Here is a 22,240-nt window from a genome sequence, read left to right on the forward strand (position 1 = left end):
GCCTGAGTTTCCTCAACTGTCAAATGGGAGGGTCAGGCTCCGCATCTTAATGGGGTCTCCCAGCTGTGCTTCTCCCCCTTCTGCCTGTGTCCCTGCAGGGTTCCCCTGCCTCTCCTGCCACCACATCCCTGGCCCTCGAGTCTCTACAGGAGAAGAGGAGTGATTCAGAACAGGAAGACGCTCAGGTCGAAGCCCGTTGATTTGTTACAGGTGACGGATGCTGATGGCCGTTCATCTGTGGTTGCTGCTGATTAGAAATCAGTCTCCAGTGGAAGATTAAAGGCTGGGGGCAGAGTAGGGTCCACACACTGCTCAGGGCTTGGTCCTGCTCTCTGCCATGGGGAAGTCAGGGGGCAGTGCCCAGCACACACAACAGTGCCCAGCCTCACTGAGGCTGCTCAGACACCCAGCGGGGAAAGTGGTGCTGATCCTGTTGGGGATGTGAGGAATTGAAGCTCAGAGAAGTTAAGTAACTTGCCCAGGGCCACACAGCTGGAGGCAGAGCTGGGATTTGAACCCAGAACTGTCTCAGAATGCACTCTGTTTCCCCTATGCCATGCGCTTCTCGTAGTGGGTGGCAGAGTCTAGGGCGATGAGAAGTCTGGAGCCTGTGCAAGGCCAGGCTTTTCTCTGCCATGGAGTGGTGTGCCACGGATAACACAGGAGCTCTTTCTGGGCCTCAGTTTTACTCTCTCTTGTGAGCAGGAATCCCCCGGAGGGGGTGTTAAAACATAGACTCCTGAGCCTTCCCCAGATACTCTGTTCGGGTTGGTCCTGAGTAGGTGCTGCGGGTCTGTGGGCCACACTCTGAATAGCACCTACTAACTAGCAAGTCTCTTGGGTTCCTTTTGGCAAAAATCCCCCATCTCCATGGCCAGGCGGGGAAATACTGGCTAAAACCCTGTGGTGTTCCTGTCCTCACCACCCACCATCCTCCCTCAGGCCTGACTACCCCCTACACTCAGAAGCCACACACCTTTGAGTCCAGGGGGAGCCCCCAACCCCACACTGTGAATGCAGCTCTCTGTGTGAGCCAACAGAGGGTGGTAGTGACCAGAAGGGACTTAGGAGCCAGCACTGTGATTTGAAAATGAGCTTTTCCACTTCCTGTGTGACCCTGGGAAAGTAACTAGACCCCTCTGAGCTCCAATTTCCACGTCTCTAACATAAAGACTGGAAAGACATACAGAATTGAATGTCATTAAACGGCACACCAAGCGCATCCATACATATGTGTGTCCTAGGAAATATATATATAGGATGTACTCGGAAAGGGACAAGAAACGGACAGTTGGAACTTCAGTGGGAAGTGAAGATCCTTTGGGGATGTATGCATTCTTACTGCATGCTTGTGTTATTCTTCCAAAAATGTTCTACCAGCCTCATGGGCTATTGTAGGGCTAATGGAGGTGATCCCTACAAAGGGTTGTGCATAAGGCCTGGCATATAGCAAGCACTGGATAAGGTGTTAGCTCTCCTCCTCTTCCTCCTTCTCCCCACCATGCCTCTCCTGCTGGCTAGCTCTCCCTGCCCTCCTGCCATTCTCCTGGATGGCACTGCCTCCCTCCCTCCTGTTGCTCTTTATTTATTTATATTCTCTTCAAAAGGAAGGGGTGTGTGTGGCTGGATCAATTCATCCATGTCGCTCACTTGGCTCCACTTCCCTCCTCCTTCCGCCCCTCTCCCCCTCGCTGAGACCAAGAGCGTAAATTCCTTCTGGCTATTAATTAAAAGCAGCCTCTCCCTTCGCGCCAGTGTACTCGCCATAAATTAATAGCGGTCTTCTTAATCAAATCTTATCTCCTCCTCGAGCCATAAACATATGGAGCTCAAGTTGGTATCTCTGTGCACCCAGCCGTGAAATTTAATTTCTGATGCTTCGGTGGACTGCAGGGGGTGGGTGGGTGGTCTTGTGTTGGGGGCCACCCAAACTTGAGTCCCAGAACCAGACCCCTGGTCGACCAGCTGGGTTGACTCAACCACCTCCCATGACGTCTGCAGGCAAAGCATGTGTGACTCTTTAAGCCTGAAGGTCCAGCAGTTTCGTTGCATGATTATAATCGTTGGCATTCTAAAGGCTTTCAGAGATTTTATCTCATCCGATTCTCATGCAAGCTCTATGAGGAGGAATAGGTTGGGAATATGAGCCCCATTTTAGAGATGGAAAAACTAAGTCTAACATGTTCTTTAGAGTCAGATCTGAATGGAATTCCTCCTCTGCTGCTTTCTAGCTGCCACTCTGACCCTCAGTTTCCTCATCTGTCCAAGGGGAAAGAGAATGCCTCTTGCAGCTTTGAAGTGCGAATGGGATTAACTGTCATATGTAAAGGGCTCGGTATGGTGCCTGGCCTGTGGCTGCTGCACAGGGTAGAGATATTCCACTAAGTGACCTGCCCAAGACTATCCACCCAGCTACAAATCGGCAGTCTGGGCCATAGGCTTCAACTCAAATTCCATGCCCTTGGAATTCCATCTCCAGGCTCTAGAGCCTGAGGTCCCCAGGCTAGGTCCCCTAGGCAAAATCAGCTCAGCTGCCCCCTCCTTCTGGCCTGTCAAATGCCCACCCCAAGTACATGTCCATAAGCCACTGGCCCGAGGTGGAGCCAGGAGCCTGGACGGGCCAGGGCAGAGCCTGGACAGAGGACACAACTGCCAGCCTTGCTCCAGCTGCCAAGTAACTTTGAGCCAATACCAACTGGGGCGCCCTCTGGCACGCCTCTGTCCCTGGGTCACTCCAGCATCACCACCCTACTTAGCAGCTGACAGTCTCCAGCAATTTCCCTTTGGCCGCAGGGTGGCTCGGGCCATCTCTGCACGTTATCTGTGTTACTGGGGCGTGACTCATGTCATCCTGGTGCAGGCTCATTCATAAATGAGACGGGACTCTGAGGCCACTTCTGGAGCTGCTTTGCCCATTCAGAGCCGAGCTCCGCAGCCTCTCCTGACTCTTCCAGCCCCGGGGGACAATCACCTTCCTATCTGAGACCCAGCGCTCTGGCAAACAGCCCTCTTTGTGCCCATCAAACCCTCAGGCCCGCTTCTCTGGATCTGGCTCATTACATTTCCCTGAACTGGCTTCTCCTTTCCTAACCACACAGGTGCTTTTAAAGTCTTCTCATTGCTTTGTGAGTCTGTTTTTGTTTTTCTGTAAAATCTTGAAGTCTGTTTACAATTCTTCACACCCTCAGGGAGGCATCTCTCTAAGAAACTCCCTGTCCTGTTATCTGCTCTTGGCATCCCATTAGCCACTCACTTCACCATCTCTAAAGCCCACCATGTTCATAAGACTCTAGTCCAGTGGTTTTCAAAGTGAGGGGAGGAGGGAGTCCCAGGAACAGCTGAAACAGCAGCACCTGGAAGCTTGTAAGAAATGCAAATTCTGGCCTGGCGCGGTGGCTCACGCCTGTAATCCCAGCACTTTGGGAGGCCGAGCCTGGTGGATCACCTGGGGTCAGGAGTTCGAGACCAGCCTGACCAACATGGAGAGACCCCCCCCCCTCCCCCGCCATCTCTACTAAAAATACAAACTTAGCTGGGCCTGGGGCTGCATGCCTATAATCTCAGCTACTCGGGAGGGGGAGGCAGAAGAATCATTTGAATCCGGGAGGTGGAGGTTGCGGTGAGCCGAGATCGCGCCTTTGCACACCAGCCTGGGCAACAAGGGCGAAACTCCATCTCAAAAAAAAAAAAAAAAAAAAAAAAAGAAAGAAATGCAAATTCTGGGCCTTGTCTCAGGCCTGATGAATCAGAAATTCTGGGTGTGGAGCTTGGCAGTTTGTGACTGAGCAAGTATCCCAGGTGATTCTGATGCACAGTGAAGTTTGAGAACCAGTGCTCTAGGCTGCTGGTTCTCATCAGGGCCAACTCAACTTTGCCCCCCAGGGGACATCTGGAAGCATTTTTGGTCGTCACAACTGGCATCTAGTGGGTAGAGGCCAGGGATCCTATGAAATACCCCGCAGTGCTCAGGACAGCCTCCTGCGGTGCTCAGGACAGCCTCCCCTCTAAGAACAATCTGGCCCAAAGTGTCAGTAGTGCGGAGACTGGGAAGTCTCGCTGTGCCTAGGGCCGGGGCGGCACAGTTCCAGGGCCAATGCACAAGCACAGCAGCTCTGGGTGACAACCGGACAGGCGTGGGGCACACTCCTCTACGTGGCGCAGGTGCCATACGCACTTCATTCCTGATGGCTCACTTTACAGAAGGCGCCAGATGCCTGAAGCACAGAGAAGCCACTAATCCGTGATCTCACAGCTGGTGAGCACCAGGGCAGGGTTAGGGCCCCAGAGCAAGTGAAGCCAGAGCCGGGGTCCTCCCTGTGATGCCACGTACTTGACCTTGCATGGAGAGAGGCTTGGTTCTTACTAAATGATCTGTTCGAGCAAGAAAGACAAACTGCAGGCATCACAGTCCCTGACTCACTCAGTCTAGTCAGTGGCTACTGTATGCTCCTCCCTAAGCCAATTATTCTACTGTGTGCTGGAGTAGTCCCAGGATGCAAGAAATTCACGCTCCAGCTCACAGTGATGAATGCACGTGAGTGCAGGTGCACACACAAACACACAACCCTGAAGGGCAAGGAGATGTCTCTTCTAGTCCCTCCCAAGGTGCAGAGTTGTAGGTGCTCAAAGCATTCAGAAAAATAGAATGGGAATGAGGGTGACCCTGTTGGGGAGCTGGGTATTGAGGTGTGGGGCAGATTTGCAGAGCTGGGAAAAGAGGCCGGAAAACCACAGGCAAGGGACGTGGCCTTGGAGTTGGACAGATGTGGCTCTGAATTCTGCTCCACCACTTCCAGCAGCGTGAAGCTTGGCCAAGCTGCTTACTCCACAAGCCTCCATTTCCCAATCTGCAAAATGGGGACATTGCTACTGGCTCCGCAGCCTTAGGCAGGATAAAAGGGGAAGCTCAGACAGGCACTCTGCGTCACTCTGTCCTATGTCAGCATCAGCTGGCCCTGACCAAGGATAATGCTGATCTGGTCACCACAGGCTGGAACCCAAAGTGGGGTGTGAAATCGGACAAGGCAGACAAGAGAGCAATAAGCCTCATCCCCAGGCAGCAGGAGGCAAGCCGCACATTTGGTTTTGAGCAGCCCCGCAGAGCCACTGCGGATTAGCAGGTGTTACAGAGGTGCTGAGTGCCATTAGCACCTAATTACGCCTTTGTCCTTGCTGTAATCAGGTGAACAGAGAAGGGACTGAAAAGGGGAGCGCCTTAAAGAGAAAGCAAGCAGCTGTCAGGCAGGAATCTCTTCCAATGTGTCCACTCCTCTCTAGAATGTGGCCTCCTTCCCACGGCCAGAGGGCCTGGGCCATTCAGGTGGCCAGAAAGGATACAGCCAGTTACAGACTCTTACATGCTGCCTCTTAAACCCACACGGAATCGAAGTCTGGGCTCATCAGGAAACAGGGAGCCGATGAGGGCCTTTGAGAAGGGGGAGGCAATTGACGAAAGAAGACATTTAGCAAGACGAGAATTGGACGGCTGTCTGCAGGGTGGATGGAAAGGTACGGCTGGACCAGAGGGGTCAGTTCGGAATCTGTTACTGTAATCCAGGCATGTGCTAATGCAGAGGAGTACCAGGAACACATGAGACTTGACAGGACCTGGCAACCAGCACCTCCTTCCCCGGCATTCGCTTCCCCTGTCGGAGATGATGCTGGAAAGCTCAAAGGTCCCACAAGAAGCACAGCAGCAACTTGAAGCTGACTTTGCTCGTTGCCAAGACCCGCACCACCTGCTGTGCAACACCATTGCTCTGCCCCGTCTGGCTCTGGGCTGCTCCTTCAGACCCTGGCCTAAGTAGTCTTTAACAGGGCACACCTGGGGAAAATACAGGTTAGTGACTCTAAGTCTTCAACACACCCTGAGAATGACCCTGGGTGGCAGACGCACCTGATTGTGTGTTCTGAGGTGGGGAATCTGGGCATGGCCAACCCGGAGAGTCACTCCTTGTCTATGAGAAACATCCGAGCCCTGGGCCCATCCAGAACATGGGCTGTGCATGGAATTGAGGCCCTGAGTTTTGGGTTAACTGAAGGTTGCCAGGTAGAGGTTGTTAAGGGTAGAGTGTTAAGTGGCCATGCTATGTAAACTGGTATGCCCTTTCCAAATGGTTGCTGTTTTCCTGCCCAGACTGCCACCACCGGACTGTAGGAAGGCGGACATCTTATCCAGCTAGCTGTCATTGAACTATTTATTTGTTTATGTTTATTTATTTATTTTTGGGACAGAGTTTCGCTCTTGTTGCCCAGGCTGGGGTGCAGTTGCATGATCTCGGCTCACTGCAACCTCCACCTCCCAGGTTCAAGTGATTCTCCTGCCTCAGCCTCCTGAGTAGCTGGGACTACAGGCGCCTGCCACTACACCTGGCTAATTTTTGTACTTTTAGTAGAGACAGGGTTTCGCCATGTTGGCCAGGCTGGTCTCAAACTCCTGACCTCTGGTGATCCACCTGCCTTGGCCTCCCAAAGTTTGGATTACAGGTGTGAGCCACCGCACCCGGTCTTAACTGTTTCTATATGTAAGGCATTTCTCCTGTCCAGACAGCTGCCACTGGACCCTCCCCTGGATGTAAGCCCCTAATAAAACCCTATGTCTCCTTTGCTGGCGCCGGGTCTCTTCTTCAGCTTCTCGAACCTGGTGCCTTCCCTATTGAGGTTAACAGGGTTTCAGCACAACACCTGCCCTGAGCTCTCTGCTCCCCCGGCCACCAGCACACTCTTCCGGGACGCCACAGTGGGGTTGCCAGATTTAGCAAAAACACAAACACAGGATGTTCGGTTACACTTGAACTTCCCTTCAGACCCAAGGCTGTTAGAGTTGGGGTTTGCAACAGTGCAAACCTGTAGGACGTGTAGAATACTCTCGCAAATTGGGGAATGCTGGTGCTCAAAGATGAAGCAATGTTTATCTGAGGTCCAAATTTACTTGGGTATCCTGTCTCTTATCTGGCACCCTATCTACTTGGAGATGCAGGTTTACAAGAACTAGGACATGGCATGGCGAAAGGTATGAGAGGACACAAGGAGACCTGGTCCCCATCCAGCACCCCCTACTCATGCAGGCACATGACTGAGCTTTGCGGAGATGCTTATCTGTGGGGTGGGGCAATACCAGAGGGCAGCCATCACGCGGCTGTCAGGAAGCCTCCTCATCTTCAAAGAGCATCAAGCACTAAAACGGTAAGAGTGGCCAGGTCTGGAGTGCAGCGGAGACTCGAGGAGAGATAAAAGGCTGCCAAGAGCACACCCAGCCTCTCTGGGGACGTGGGGTACGTGCTATGAATGCACCTTGCAGTTTCTCACCCACATGAGGGGGGAGTTGATCTCTGCGGTCCCCTTCAGCTTAAAAACCTCATGCTGATCCCAGGCTTCCGGACTTCATCTGTCAATAACGATGAATGCAGGGAACTGCAGCCTGTCTACCAGTAGCCCTTGCACCACAGAAAAAGGAAGGTAAATCCACAACTGGAAGAAAGCATCATGGGCTGCAGGCCACAGCCATGCCTCCGTGGGCCTGGCACTGTACACTTCTTGGAAAGATCTAGGCCTCTCGGCCCCCATCATGCCGAAATTAGAGGCTGGCTCCGTGTGGCTGCATTGCACCTGCCAGCAGGGTTACACCTGTATGATCAGAAATGTGTAAGAGCAGATTTTACTGGACTAATAAAAATTAAAATGACCAAAATGGAGTCAGAACCCAGCCAAAGAGGGAGTGTGGGAGGGAAAGAGTCTCCAGCTTTTTATTTTTTAAGCAGGCCAACCACATGGAGGTGGGGACGACTTCTTCCCCATGCCCCCGGCAGCACCTCCAGCCATCTGTCCCCACCACCTCCTGGCCTGGTTAGCTGGCTTCCAGAAATGTGACTGTCTGGAGTCTAACCGGGGCACACCAGGAGCTGTCACCCTGAGTCAAGCCTGGGGCATGAAGACAGGAAGAGAGGGCCGGGGAAGCGCGAGGACAGGGACCTTGGTGGCTGGCTGAGGATGCTCAGATGACGGGAAGACGGAACAGTCAGGCACACCCTGGCGGCTCCCCATTTCCGGAAGGAGGACAGGAACGGAGGTCCAGGGAGAGCCTATTGTAACCACCGTGCGTGACACCAAGAGCTTTGGGGAATCTACGGAATCAAAGAGTCACAGACACATGGCCTGGCCACATGCCCGTCTCCCAAGCATATTTCAGGGTTTAACCTCAGCTCACCCCGGTAATGCTGTGTTTGCAGCGCATGGGGGTGTCCGTAGCTCGCCGGTGTCACAGGATCACCCCAGAGTGGTGTGGGACGTACACTTGGAGTTCAGCCGGTCCAGCCAGCTCATTCCCCATTCGAGGCCCAGGGAGGGTTGGGTGGGGGGGATTGTTTCTAAGCTTACCGCGCAAATGCCGTCCCTCCTCCTCCTCCCCACCCCAGCTCCTGCTGCAGGTCTTCCCTCGACAGGCTGGGTACCCCACCCCACCCTCTGCCTACGTCTGTGCCACTGGGGGGCTGTGTTCAGTGTGGATGTGGGGCTCTGTGGTCCTTCTGTCATCCCTGGATCCAGAGTTACTCCTGGGGGCCCAGACACCTCTGTAATTCAAGTTGCTGGGCTACTGTGAGGCCCAAAACGTTTGTGGGGAGCAGAGAATGAAGGAGCCTCAGCACCCACTCCCTATCCTGGCCACAAGAGCATCCTTCCTCCTCATTGTGCAGGAAACCCCCACCCAAAGGAACAGAGATGGGGTGTGGGGGGCTTCCCCCAGAGACCATGAGGCATGCGCTCTGGGCCCTGGGGTAACCTGGACAACATTTGCCTCTAAGGGACCAGGAGTGGCCCAGGACAATAGACCCAGAGGCAGAACACCTAGCTTGGAAGGGCCAGAGCCCCCCAGGGAAGGAGCAGATGGTACCTCAAGCTGAACCCCTTCTCTGCAGTGCCCCCCCAAAGTGTGCCACTCACATGTTTACTGATCAGATTTGGGGTTTCTGACATGCAGTAATCGGATCACGGAAGGTGTTAACTGGATTAGGCAGAAGGCTTCCAGGAGACACCAGCTGAAAGTGGCTATTAAATAACACAGGGGCCTGGGCGGCAGGGCTGAGGGGACCCTGCTTCCTCAGCCCTCTTCTTCTTTTGTCCCTGGCTCCTCACTTACCCTCCTTGGCCATATCTCACTGTCCGTCCTTCTTTGAGCACTGGCCATGTGGCCGAGTCTGTGTTGGACAATTTGGTTGCATTATCTCCTTTAATCCCCACAGGGAATTTACAAGGTAGGTTTCAACCTCCCCATGTAACAGAAGGGAAAACAGAGGCTTGGAGGTTAAGAAAATGGCCCCACAACCCACAGCAATAAATATGTCTGGAATTCCAATCCAGCTTTATCTAATATCGTTTCCAACTCAAAAACTGTTTCCCCAAACCTGGTCATGTCAGGCCTCCCAACGTCTGGGAGCCAGCAGGTGGTTCACTCTGGCCAGCCTCTGAGGCTGAGTGTTGGACAGCGGGAAGGCGGCATTGATGGGGATTCGTGGGCTGTAGGGGAAGGTCAGCCACTGGACAGCTCCCTCGACCCTTGACCCCCTCAGGCTGGGGTGCTGGCCTTCCCCCGGGCAGCAGCTGAGGGCCTGAGTCTCATGTCCTCAGACTGCTCCAGATCAGATGGTCTCAAGCCCTTCTCCTGAGTATAAAGATGCCCTTCCCTCCCCCAGTGCTGCTCCCTAAGACCCTAGAGGCAAGAACTTGGTTGCTCCCCTGGAAAGTGTTGGTGGTGGGGATGAGGAGATGGGAAGAGAGGGAGGGGGAGAGAGAGAGAGAGAATATATTAGATATCACAGAAGCAAGCTGGAGTCCCAGCAATGTGCTTGCTCCTGCAAGACTCCCTGCCTGCCTCATGATGGGACAATGAACACACACACACACAACACATACAAATACACACAGAACACACAGAAATACACCCATAGCACACATATGCACACATACATGTAATACATAGCACACATATGCACACAAATACATGCACAAATACAAATACATGCAGCACAGATGCACACAAATACACTTAGCACATATGCACACACACAAATATACAGCACATATCCACACACAAATACACACAGCACACAGACACACATACAAATGCACACATAGCACACACATGCACACATGCAAATACACACAGCACATACATAGCACACACCTGCACATATACAAATACACACAGCACACACCTGCACACAGCACACGTGCACACACACATACAACAGGCCTCACTACCTGCCTGCTTCACTCCCCCAGCCCTTGTCACCCTCTGCTCTGTGGATCACCTCCTCAATCAGAACGCCATCACCACGAGAAAAGACTTCGGCCTGTTTCTGTTGTTTCTACCTCTGTACCCACAGCTCCTAGCACGGTGCCTGAAATAAGTGGGCATTGGGTGGGCACTTGCTGAATAAGTGAAGCCATGAGCCACAGAAGGGGTGTCAGTGAGAATTCGAGTGTGGGTGAAGGTGAGGAGGAGGAGGAGGAGGAGGGAGGAAAGGGAGGTCTGAGAGATGGGGAGAGGCAGGCCTGGGGGAGAGCGTGGCCCTGTGTCGGAGAGACAGAGAAATAGAGTCGGGGTGGCCACAGGTAATGAATGCCGTTTGTGGTGAGACTCTCTTGCCCTATGGCTCCAGATTGAGGGGGTGTCCCAAGGATGTCTGGGCACAATATTGGTGTGTGCCAGGGCCTGGGAAGGAGGCCCTTGTGCTTCCAAGAGATCCCACACAGCACCAGCCTCCCACACAGCCATGAGTCTGGGCCCTGGAGGGGACCCAGCCTCGGGTCATCAGAGGAAACGCTGTCTCCTCCTCGCTTGGACTGGCCAGTGGCACAGGCTCCCTCCTAGGGAGGTATGGAGTCACCAGAAAGGCAGCCTGGGGCCCAGGCCAGGCCCAGATGGCCCCAGCTGTTCACCACAGCCCCAGGGCAGGCAGGAAGCTGGGGTGCGGGGAGTAGCCGCTGACCCACTGGGAACCAGCATGCAGTTTGGAGGGGGGCCTGGTGGGGGCAGTGTCAGTTCAAGGCTGGCATCCACTCCTCACCGGCAGGCCCTGGCAAGGGCCTATCCTCCCTAGAAGGCTTGGAGGCAGCCAGGGGGGCTGAGAGGGGCCAGGGGAGCTGGGAGGACAGGCTCCATCCTGTGGGGCTCCCTGCTGCCTAGAAGCAGCCATCAAGCAGCCCGAGAGTGTGGCAGACATGGCTTAGGCGGCCTGATGGAGAAGCCCTTGACACATAGGATTGCAGAAGTCAGAGGTCTTGGCCTTAGGGGGATACAGTGAGGCCTCGGCACTCCCAGTCTTATGTCCCAGGCAGACGGCCCTCACCTACCCCCTGTGCCTGCCCCAACACGTTTGGGCTGTCCTGGGCAGGGATGCACACACAGGGAGTCCCAGCTGCAGGTGGTGGTAGCCTGGAGACCTGGGTCCTGGGCAGCTTTGGGACAGAGCCACTGGGCAATCTGGGGCGGCAGGGGTAGTGGAGAGGGACCCGCAGGGTGAGTGGGGAGGCAGTGGCGACCTCTATGAGAGAAGGCAGCCTGGCATATGGGGCAGTGATCAGGGCAAGGTGTCAACACACCTGGGTCCCCACTCCAACTGGGGACCTGGAGGAAGCCTCCTCCCCTCCCTGGAGAGGGGCATGACACGGTATGAACATTGGCCGGAGCTCCAGTCAACCTCTGCGACCCTCAGTTTCCTCATCTGCATAATGGGTTTGTGTGAATGTACGAAAACTCCTATCAGTGCATTTTACTTCTCAATATATTTCTGCATATACATATTCTGCATTCTCTCTGGCCTCCCTGTCCCAGCGTCCCAGCCTCTGAAAGGGGGCGCTGGCTCATGATGTATCTGTTTCCCGCAGTGACATGTCCCCGGAACCCACAGCCAACCCCCTTCCCAGTGGTCTCTGATGTTCCCCCCACCCCCAGAAGGGAGATGAGGAGGAGCAGAAACAGGGGACACAGGACAGGGTGGCTGGTTCCAGCCTCCCCGACCCTCCCAGCTCCACTCTGATCTTGTGGCCTCTCCAGCTCTCATCCTCCCTCCATGGCCTCCAGATGACAAGTCCCTGGGGATAGCTCCCTGCCATGGCTGGCGGTGTCTGAGCAAAAGAGGGAGATGAAGCTGGCTTGGAATGGGAGGTGCTAACCTTGTCTTCGGAGTTGCCCGCTTGCTCCCTCCACCCCTAGTCCAGGATGCGCAGGCAGAACCCCGGCCATTTCCATTCTGGGGACTCTGGTCGGGAGTCCGGCGCCCTAGGAATCGTCTCCTCACTTCAGTCTGAACCTGCTCCATGCCCAGGGACCGGGCCAGTGCACCTGGACTCACCTCATCTGAATCATCCCTGTGGGAGTGCCTGTCAAGAGCCAAGATGTTCCCAAGCTCATCTGTCTTTCTCTTGTCCTTTAACACGTATTCTCCTGATGGGTTTTGGATATTTTCATTCTCCTTCACCTCACCGGGGCCTTGAAGGGTGGAGACTCTCCCTGGTGCTGGCTACCCAGCACCCCACTACTGACACAAGACGGGGAGCTGCCCTGGGTGGAAGATGAGAGGATGCAATCAGATTTCTGGAAGCTGGGCACAAGAAACCTGTGACCAAGTCTCAGCCCTGCCAGGTATGACCCTCTGACCATAGGCAAATTATTTAACTTCTGTGATCTCAGTTCTATAAAGCAGGGGCCTCTCCTGTGATACTTTGCTTATAGAACTCTGCGATGTGGACGTATCTGTCTGGAATAGTTCCTGGGCTCGTGGGAGACACACAATCAACAGAACTATGGACATTACCGTCCTGTCTCTCAGGGCTCATGGAACGACAGGCTTCTGCCGATCCTGCCCCCAGCCCACCGCTATCCTTATAAATATGTATTCATAGGAGTTTTCACTGTGTGCTTCTGGACTATTTTCTTTTCTTTTTTTTTTTTTTGAGACAGAGTCTCGCTCTGTCGCCCAGGCTGGAGTGCAGTGGCACGATCTCAGCTCACTGCAAGCTCCGCCTCCCGGGTTCACGCCATTCTCCTGCCTCAGCCTCCCAAGTAGCTGAGACTACAGGCACCCGCCACCACGCCCGGGTAATTTTTTGTATTTTTAGTAGAGATGGGGTTTCACTGTGTCAGCCAGGATGGTTTCGATCTCCTGACCTCGTGATCCGCCCACCTCAGCCTCCCAAAGTGCTGGGATTACAGGCCTGAGCCACCGCGCCTGGCCTATTTCATTTTTATGATACCCCTACAAGGTGAAATATTCCCTTTCTACTTCTACAGATGGGAAGAGTGACGCTCAGAGGGTTTGGGTCACTATTCTGAGGTTACATAGCCAGCTGGTGTCCGAGTTGTTCTCAGGTGCCCCAAACCTAGAACTTTTCCATCCCATCTCCCCAGGGGGAGGGTGCTAGGATCCCGTGCCCCAACCCCAGTTAACAGCCACCCTCCCACCATTCACCACTGCCATGACTTTGGAGCCATCTAAGCATATACAGGTGACAGGAGTAGGCCGGACCCACAGGCAGTTTGCTGGGTTTGGGAGACTCGGTGTGGGGCGTGAGTTCCTAGACGCTAACCCCCTGTCCTCCTGGCTCAGGTCGCTGGGTCATTGGCCGACGGCACCTGTGCGGGCTCATGCAGGGCAGCTCAGATGGCACAGGCCTCCCTGACAGCCAGCTGGCCGAGGCAGCCCCATGCATCAGCCAGTTTTGTTTATTCTCCAGCCTTGTTTATGACTCGATAAAATCCATAACACGGACAGTGCCTGTCTCCCCTGGCTTCCCCTCTGCCCGGCTCTCGTTCCCTGGGGATGCAGCTCTGCTCTTTATAGAAACCACCTGCTAAACTAGGCCCACCTGAAACCCATCACTGTCAGTAAATGACCCTCCAGGAGAGGAAGCTGCCCAGTAAGTGTGAGGCAGCGGGCACGACGTGGATCGCTGGCCTTTTTCTTTACAGAGGTTAAAAATAGTCCCACCGGGAGCAGCCCATCCCCCTCCAGGGACCACCCCTAGCTGTATACCTATGTCCCCTCCAGCAGGGGAAGGTGGGAGAGGCACTGGACAGGTGCTGAGAAGACGTGGTCTGGCCAGGGCCTGGCACCTGTGAGCTCGAAGGCCTCGTGTAAGTCACAGCACCTCTCCTGCTTTCCGTTTCCATTTACACAATAAAATGAATGGATCAGGCACCAAGCGCCGGCTTGCTTCGATTTTTCTTCAAGTAGTGGAACCCTTTCTTTAAGTAAAATTTTAGACAGATCCCCAATAGATGAGAGTGCTGAAGAAAACGGACTTTTCCGGGTAAGGAGCGAGTGGAAAATGTAGCATCCCCCTAGAAAGAGTTACCCCTTTTCTTGTTTTTCCAACTGAAGTCTCCGAGCTTCCAGAAGGCTGAGGCTGGATATTTTTCATTGTTGTGTCCTGTGCAATGGGCCTGGCCCACTGATGTGTCTCTTGTAGTGCTTAGTACATTCGTACAGAAGGAGGAAGGTAGGTAGGTAGGAGGGAGTGAGAAAAGAAAGGAGAGAAGGTGCTGGGCACGGTGGCTCACGCCTGTAATCCCAGCACTTTGGGAGGCCGAAGGGGGTGGATCACTTGAGGTCAGGAGTTCAAGACCAGCCTGGCCAACATGGCGAAACCCCATCTCTACCAAAAATACAAAAATTAGCCTGGCGTGGTGGTGGGCACCTGTAATCCCAGTTACTCCTCAGGAGGCTGAGGCAGGAGAATCACTTGAACCCAGGAGGCGGAGGCTGCAGTGAGCTGAGATAGCGGCACTGCACTCCAGCCTGGATGACAGTGAGGTTCCATCTCAAAAAAAAAAATTAAATTAAATAAATAAAAATAAAGGGGAGAGGGAAAAGAGGAGGAGAGAGGGAGCAAGGAAGGAGGGAGGAAAGGGGGAAGAGGAAAGGATGAAGAAGGAGGGAGGGAGGGGAACACACATTAAGCCAGTTTCTTTTTTCTCTCACTTCAAGCATAGCTCAAAATCCATTCCACCACCCTAAGCCATTCCTCTCCATCCTGAGACTCAGGCTAAAAGCAGAGGCTGTGCCACAGTCCTTGCCAGGCCCAACCTGTTCCCCACTTGCAGGGAGCTCAGCCAGTGGTCTCTGACACAGGGGCCCAGGCTCCTCAGCTGTGATGGGGGGTCCTTCAGTGAAGGTAGGTGCCAAGTCCTGTCTGCCAACACAGTCACTCTGTCTCACACACCTACGGTTATTTGTCAAAGTATGTGACTGCTGTTGTGATTAATACGCTAGACGTCCATTTAAAAGTGATACTGAACCCGTAGCAGCCCCTCGTCACTATGTTTTCTCAAACAGTGGTTGCTAAATAAACAACCACAAGCACATGGAGATCCCTGACTTTCCTGGGGAAAGGGGTCCTTGTGCTGGACAGGAGGGGACCTGGTCCCAGGTGGCCTGAGCCCGGGGCAGACCCTCACCCTTCCCTGGCCATTGCAGCTCCCGCCACTTCCTCGGTCCCATCCAGCAGCACTGGGTTTCCCTCCAGGAGCCCATGGATGGCAGCCGTGTGCTGGGCCAGAGGCCACATCTGGAATTCATTCTCTTCATTAAATTGGTGGCTGTTTCCCAAGCTCTGGCTCTCTTGATCCTCCCAAAGCCCTGTTCGTGCTGCTAACAAGGGCAGTAATTTGTTCATTAAAAACGGGACGCCTTCCCAACAGGCCTCCCTGGCTTCTGCCTCCCCTGGGGGAGGCGGGGTGTGGAGAGGGCGACAGCAATCCTTGGTCCCAGGATCAGAGCTGTCCCACCTAGGGGGACACCCAGGGCTTCTCTGGGGCAGAGCCTCACCTGCTCTGGTCACTCAGCCCCTAGCTCCCCAAGTGACTCCGATGGTGCCAGCAGACAGTGTGGGGAGAGGCCGACAAGAGCCCCTGCCAGCTCCTCTCCTGCTCTGCGACAGGGTGTTGTGGCCATCCAGTCGATGCGGACAACTTGATCTGGCATCAAGTCCCTGTGCAAACCACAGCCCATCAAGAGGCATTTATTGTTGTGAAAACAAACAGTCCCCTCCCCAGTGCCTGGTCCATCCTATCTCCACTCCCCACCGGATACCCTTTCCCTGTCCTTGGAGCAGCTCAGACGGACTAATCCAGAGCTGCTCACTCCTCTGCATTCCAATCTCTGCTCCGGCTGGTCTGGGCCCACCAGGGAACAGGAGGCAGGATACCAGAGTCTGGGGGGCAGGACTCTGTGCACAGAAACCCACCCAAGAGAGGCCTCAGGGCCTTTGGTGCCTTTATGAATGATCTTTTCATTTTATTATTTAAAAAAAAATTTTTTTTTTTTTTTGAGATGGCATCTCACTCTGTTGCCCGGGCTGGAGTGCAGTGGCATGATCTCAGCTCACTGCAACCTCCGCCTCCCAGGTTCAAACAATTCTCCTGTCTCAGCCTCCCGAGTAGCTGGGAATACAGGCATGCACCACCACGCCCAGCTAATTTTTGTATTTTTAGTAAAGACGGGGTTTCACCATATTGGCCAGGCTGGTCTCGAACTCCTGACCTCAGGTGATCCACCCGCCTCGGCCTCCCAAAGTGCTGGGATTACAGGTGTGAGCCACCGCGCCTGGCCTTACGAATGATCTAAGTTTAAGCACATGGACCCTTTGAGGTGGCATGCTGGGTGGAATAGTGTCCCCCCAAATTCATGTCCACCCAGAACCTCACGATGTGGCCTAATTTGGAAAGAAGGTTGTTGCATATGTTCTGAATTACGGTGAACTCTAGTCCAATATGCTGTCCTGTGAAGAGGGAAATTTAGACACAGGTACACGCACAGAGAAAAGACGGGATGAAGCACAGAGACATAGGGATAGGGCCGAGGGACAACGGAGGCAGAGACTGGAGTGAGGCATCTCTCGGCTAAGGCATGTGGAGAATCACCAGTAGCGCCCAGAGCTAGGAGACGGTCCCGGGACAAGCTCTCCTTGGAGTCTCCAGAAGGAACCAACCCTGCCGACGACACCTTGATTTTGGACATCCAGACTCCAGAACTGTTTTTTTTTTTCTTTTTTGAGACAGAGTCCTGCTTTTTCGCCCAGGCTGGAGTGCAGTGGCGCCATTTTGGCTCGTTGCAGCCTCCGCCTCCTGGGTTCAAGTGATTCTCCTGCCTCAGGCTCCCGAGTAGCTGGGATTACAGGCACCCAGCACCATGCCCGGCTAATTTTTGTATCTTTAGTAGAGATGGGATTTTGCCATGTTGGCCAGGCTGGTCTCGAACTCCTCACCTCAGGTGATCCGCCTGCCTTGGCCTCCCAAAGTGCTGGGATTACAGGCGTGAGCCGCCGCGCCCAGCCCAGAACTGTGTTTTAAACAACCCAGTTTGTAGTGCTTCGTTGCGGCAGCCACAGGAAACCAATACAGGTAGGTAGGTGAGTTGGCCACGTTTGGGAAACTGAGGCCCAGAAGTTGGAGTGCTTCACTCCAAGGTCACAAAAACAAGGCAGTGACACAACTGAGGCTGGAGTTGAGATCCCCACTCCCACTCCATGAATCCTCTGTGAGGCCCAGAGACTGAGAAGGAGCCCAGGCCTGCATGCCTCAGCCACTTTGTTAGGAAGAAAGCGAGGGCTGCGAGGCCTGGGCAGAGCAAGGACGGGGAGCCTCTTCCTCCATGGCATCCTCAGCTGCACACACAGACCTGTAACAGGGCCTTGGCAACAGTGCACCATCTCTGACTCAGTATCCAGGATTCTCTCATTCTTAGCAGAGTGCCGGCTGCCTGGCAGACACTAATAAATGAATACATGGATGGAAGAAAAAAAAAGTCTAAGTTCTTTTTTTTTTTTTTAATGAAGTTCCTTTGCAGAATCCTCCTTTTTTGATGCCAGATAGAAATAAAGTTGGATGACATTTTTCCCATTCTCAGTCTCTTAAATCCCAAGAAACCCACACAAGGAAATCTATGTTCGGGTCTGGGCACTGTCCTTAAGTGAGAATGTTGATTTAAAGCAGGGTTTCTCAACCCTGGCGCTATTTTGTTGTTGTTGTTGTTGTTGAGATGGAGTCTCACTGTGTCACTCAGGCTGGAGTGCAGTGGCGTGATCTCGGCTCACTGCAAGCTCCACCTCCCAGGTCCAAGTGATTGTCGTGCCTCAGCTTCCCAAGTAGCTGAAATTACAGGGCCTGCCACCACGCCTGGCTAATTTTTGTATTTTAGTAAAGACAGGGTTTTACCATATTGATCAGGCTGGTCTCAAACTCCTGACCTCAAGTGATCCACCCACCTCAGCCTCCCAAAGTGTTGGGATTATAGGCATGAGCCACTGTGCCCAGCCAACCTTGACACTATTGACAGCTTGGGTGGGATCATTCTTTGGTGGAGGATGACCTGAGACACTCACCACCCTCCCAGGTTGTGACAACCAAAAGTGTCTGCAGACAGTGTCACATGTCCCCTGGAGGGCAATGTCATTCCCTGCTGAGACCACCTTGTGCTGGCCATAGGGGTGCACAGGTGAAGAGTCTCCAGGTCCCGGCCTCAGAGACCTCCCTACTTGGTGGAGAGTGAGGGGTTAGCAGATCAGTGTATCTATCCTGGAAGTGACCATTGCTGCCTGGCCATGCGGGCAGAGGCTGGCCCCCTGCGCTAGAGAGAGACTTCTGGGCCGGACTGAGAGGATTCATACTGACCGCCAATGTCCCTTCCCCTAGAAGATTCAAAAATGCTCTGGGCATCTATCACACTGATAAGTTGGAGAGACGACTCTTTTCTCCTCTGAAATGTAGCTAGCCTGGGTCCCAAGGTGATGCACACCCAGGGGAGCCTAGGATGCTACACCAGGCAGGACGGGCTTCCCAGTGTGCAGGGAGCTTGGGTCCCTGTAGCTCCCACTCTCAACTCAGAATCTATAAACATGGCAGCAGCCACTTACGCTTCCCAGTTCTGTGCCAGGAACTTTTCAGTGATCCAGTTATAGCTTCTCCTTAAAGCTACGCTACTAGAGAAGACATATTAGCCTTGCTTTAAAGACGAAACCAAGGCTTAGAGAGGTTAAGAAAGTTGCCAGGGGTCACACAGCTTGTGGGTGGCAAAGCTGGGCCTTCAACCTAGGCCTGTCTGGCTCCTTCTACAACACAGATCCTGGCACACCTGGAACCTTGTAAGGATGTCCCCAACTTGGGACACTTCCTGGGATCAGAGGTCAGCGGCCACAATGAGTGTCCTCTTAGCAGAGCCCTGGAGAAGAGGTGTCATAAAGAGGAGGATGGGGAGAGAGGGGGAAGCGCAGAACCCACCAACGTCAGCTGGCAGGAGGACAATGCCTGTCTCAGAACCCAGGGCCAAATGGGCAGCAGATCCCCTGGAGATTGCCACGCGGAGGGAACGCCCGCGCCGGGCAGCGCCAGCGTCAGCCTTCCTGGCCAGGAGAGTGTTTATTTCCAGGGCGAGGCTAGGAGTGGTTTCCAGGTGGGGGTCCGTGGAAATAACGTGCTCACACACACTCTCTTGAGCGAACAGAGCCCCATTCAGCCTGTCCAGAGGAGCGGACCCGCAAAGCTCATGGCCTGCATTCCGGGCAGGGTGGAAAAGGCGATTCAGAGAGGAACGCCCAGTCAGAGCCAGCTCCTCCACCACCCCCTTGTCCTTCGCATCATCTCCCAGGAGGACAAAACAAACTCAGGGCACAGGGAAGGGACCTGGCACTCGGGATACCCCTGGTTTGCCAGGGAAGTCACCAGCCCACAAAACACGGCATTGCAACCACACATGACACTTTACATCCCCAAAGGCCGGTGGGCAGCTGGCTTAAAGGAACAAACAGTTGCTCTGGGATCTCCACTGCCACCTCCTGTTCCTTGCCCTGCTGAGCCCTGGGACTAGAGAGGCAGGATGACAGCCAGGAGGCTGCTGCAACAGTCCAGGAGACCTTGGTGACCCAGCATGAGGAGTGCGGGGCTGAGGGGTGTGGAGAGAGAAAGGATAGCATTAGGGTTTCAGGCCTAAGCTAGTGTGCCAAGTGGGCCTCACAACAGGCATGTGGGTATAGAAATGAGGAGGCTCAGCTTGGGCGGTGGGGCTAAGGGAAGGACTGGAAGACCACGCCGAGGTCCAGGAGGTCTGGAGCTCATCACAGCCATTGCAGCAGGCGTGGTGGGCGAGGATGCCATCAGCACAGTGATGGCAACTAAAGCCACGTGGGAGGGGGTTGGGGAACACTGGCACATATGCACATTTAGTGGACCACTGCGGGAGAGGAAGCCCCCAGTGGTCCTGGAAGGAGAGTTAGAGAGGCAACCCCAGAAGGCTGCAGTGTTCCTGAAAGCTGAGAAGAAAGGAGAGGCCACCACTGGGCAAGGCCAACTATGGGCAAGGGGGCAAGGCCGTAAGAGGGTCCCTCTGGTTTACCAACATGGAGATCACAGGCAACTTTGACCTTGAAGCTTCGAAAAAGGGATGAGGCCTGGGGTGATGTGGGCAGGCAATGAGGTGGGGGAAAGAGTGACGGCCCCTTCAAGAGGTTGAGTGAAGGAAAGATGTAGGGAAGAGGCCGGAGCAGTCAAGAGAAATTGCTAAGGTTTGAGGGACGTAGCAGGTCAGGCTGAGGGGAAAGACTTGGCAGAGAGAGAGGATGGAGGTCCAGGTGAGGGGGCGGGATCCAGGCTCAGGTGGAGGTCCGGCCTTGACCACAGGAAATGGGTGTGGAGAAGAAAGCACAGGGGGTGGAAAAAGTCTTGCTAGAAGGAAGGCTGGAATCCCGGAGATTCTCACTTGAGGGGTTCTTCATGTCTTGGAGAAGGCAGTTGGGGCCTTCAGCTAAGGAGAGGAGGGAGTGGAGAGGGTGGGAGAGATGGTAATAATGACCCATAACTCCTGTGTCAGATTTTCCTGCTCTCCTTTCCTGAGTCAGCCCAGCATCACCTCCTCCAGGAAGGCCTCCTTGTTACCTAATCCTGGATGAGTTCCCTGTCACTCCTCCAAATTCGGGCAATACCCTGGTGTGCCTCCATGCACTGACCTTGGCACCGGGATGACCTGTTTGGGTTCCTCACTAACTATGAGCATGTGCCAAGAGATCGGATGCACGTATACAACACCAGCCCTTTGTGGCACGCTCAGCACGTAATAAGCGCTCAAAATGCTTGCTGAGTGACTGGCAGATCGGTAGTCCCTTCTCTGGACTCAGCCTCCTGCTCTTCACCAAGCCCGGGAAAGCTGACACCCCATTTCCCTGACTGCCCAGCAAGACCACAGCAAACTGTAGAGTTTGGTTTTTTCCTTCCTGTGTTTTAAGGAAAATAAGAAAAAAAAAACCCCACTCATACCAAACAAACAAAATGAGATGGCCTTGTTGACGTGCTGATGGGATCTCACTAGCAGAGATGGGGCTGTGTTGGTTTTCTTTTGCAAAGATTCTATTTATTTTGTAGGGTGCTTGGAGGGGCACACCATGCTTGTTGCTTATTATTACTTTTTGCTTCACATCTTGACTAGCACAATGGACTCATGATGAAAAGAGGCTGACGTTCTCAGGGGCAGCAGCAGGAGCCCAGAAGCTGGTGAGAGGCAGCTCCCTAGGGAAGCTGGGCTGGGCAGGAGCTCCCTGGGGAAGCTGGGTGGGGCAGGGCCCCCCTCCCGGAAAGATGGATGGGGCAGGGGCTCTGGGTGGTCTGCTGAGCCCCTCCTCTGAGGGGGGGCAGGGCAGGTGCTTATGGGTGCTGGGGCTGGTGAGTAAATGCTGGAAGGGGCTTTCAGGAGGTAAGAAAACAACATCAGCTGCCACCTCCTCAGAGCCTGGTATGGGCCGGGTCCTCTCCTATTTTACCCGCACCATCTGTAACCCTTACGACAGCCACGAAGGCGGGTTTCACCGTTTCTACTCCACAGATGAGGCTCAATGAGTTGTCATAAATCGACAAACGTGCTGTGGCTGGTGAATGGTGAAATTAGGTTCAAACCCAGGTTTGGTTCCCTGCAGAGCCTGTTTTCTTTTGGAAAGTCACGATCGACTCTATCCATGGAGAAAAAGCCACTATCCACCCCATCCACGCAGAATCCAGATTTTCAGTTCCGAGAATGGAGAGGGGAAGGGAACAGGCTCTATTAGTCACGGAAACATATTCTCCATTCTGGGAGTGGTGACATAGTGGGTGAGAAGGGGTGCAGATCAGGCGGAGGGAAAGCTTCCCATGGCATGCTGAGTGGAGCAGCTCAGTCAATGACTGAACCAGAAGGGTGGTTTTCCAGGCTTCCAAGATGGA

General features: G+C 54.0%; 1 protein-coding gene across 5 annotated transcripts in view, besides 5 other annotated features; it reads right to left on the reverse strand.

The window, feature by feature from the left end:
* SDK2 (sidekick cell adhesion molecule 2) overlaps positions 1–22,240 on the reverse strand; it is a 310,062-nt gene that overhangs the window by 250,326 nt on the left and 37,496 nt on the right. The gene's annotated exons all lie outside the window — the stretch shown is intronic.
* Positions 3,683–4,186: an enhancer, noted in NCBI's record as "H3K4me1 hESC enhancer chr17:71584531-71585034 (GRCh37/hg19 assembly coordinates)". NCBI's record gives its function as "activates a minimal SCP1, AML or CMV promoter by ChIP-STARR-seq in naive H9 embryonic stem cells {active_cell/tissue: H9 hESC(naive)}" and the evidence as "EXISTENCE:reporter gene assay evidence [ECO:0000049][PMID:30033119]".
* Positions 4,187–4,691: an enhancer, noted in NCBI's record as "H3K4me1 hESC enhancer chr17:71585035-71585539 (GRCh37/hg19 assembly coordinates)". NCBI's record gives its function as "activates a minimal SCP1, AML or CMV promoter by ChIP-STARR-seq in naive H9 embryonic stem cells {active_cell/tissue: H9 hESC(naive)}" and the evidence as "EXISTENCE:reporter gene assay evidence [ECO:0000049][PMID:30033119]".
* Positions 4,692–5,195: an enhancer, noted in NCBI's record as "NANOG-H3K4me1 hESC enhancer chr17:71585540-71586043 (GRCh37/hg19 assembly coordinates)". NCBI's record gives its function as "activates a minimal SCP1, AML or CMV promoter by ChIP-STARR-seq in naive H9 embryonic stem cells {active_cell/tissue: H9 hESC(naive)}" and the evidence as "EXISTENCE:reporter gene assay evidence [ECO:0000049][PMID:30033119]".
* Positions 5,196–5,700: an enhancer, noted in NCBI's record as "NANOG-H3K4me1 hESC enhancer chr17:71586044-71586548 (GRCh37/hg19 assembly coordinates)". NCBI's record gives its function as "activates a minimal SCP1, AML or CMV promoter by ChIP-STARR-seq in naive H9 embryonic stem cells {active_cell/tissue: H9 hESC(naive)}" and the evidence as "EXISTENCE:reporter gene assay evidence [ECO:0000049][PMID:30033119]".
* Positions 10,441–10,986: an enhancer, noted in NCBI's record as "H3K4me1 hESC enhancer chr17:71591289-71591834 (GRCh37/hg19 assembly coordinates)". NCBI's record gives its function as "activates a minimal SCP1, AML or CMV promoter by ChIP-STARR-seq in naive H9 embryonic stem cells {active_cell/tissue: H9 hESC(naive)}" and the evidence as "EXISTENCE:reporter gene assay evidence [ECO:0000049][PMID:30033119]".

This window comes from Homo sapiens, chromosome 17 (genome assembly GCF_000001405.40).
Source record: "Homo sapiens chromosome 17, GRCh38.p14 Primary Assembly".
Taxonomy (NCBI): Eukaryota; Metazoa; Chordata; class Mammalia; order Primates; family Hominidae; genus Homo; species Homo sapiens.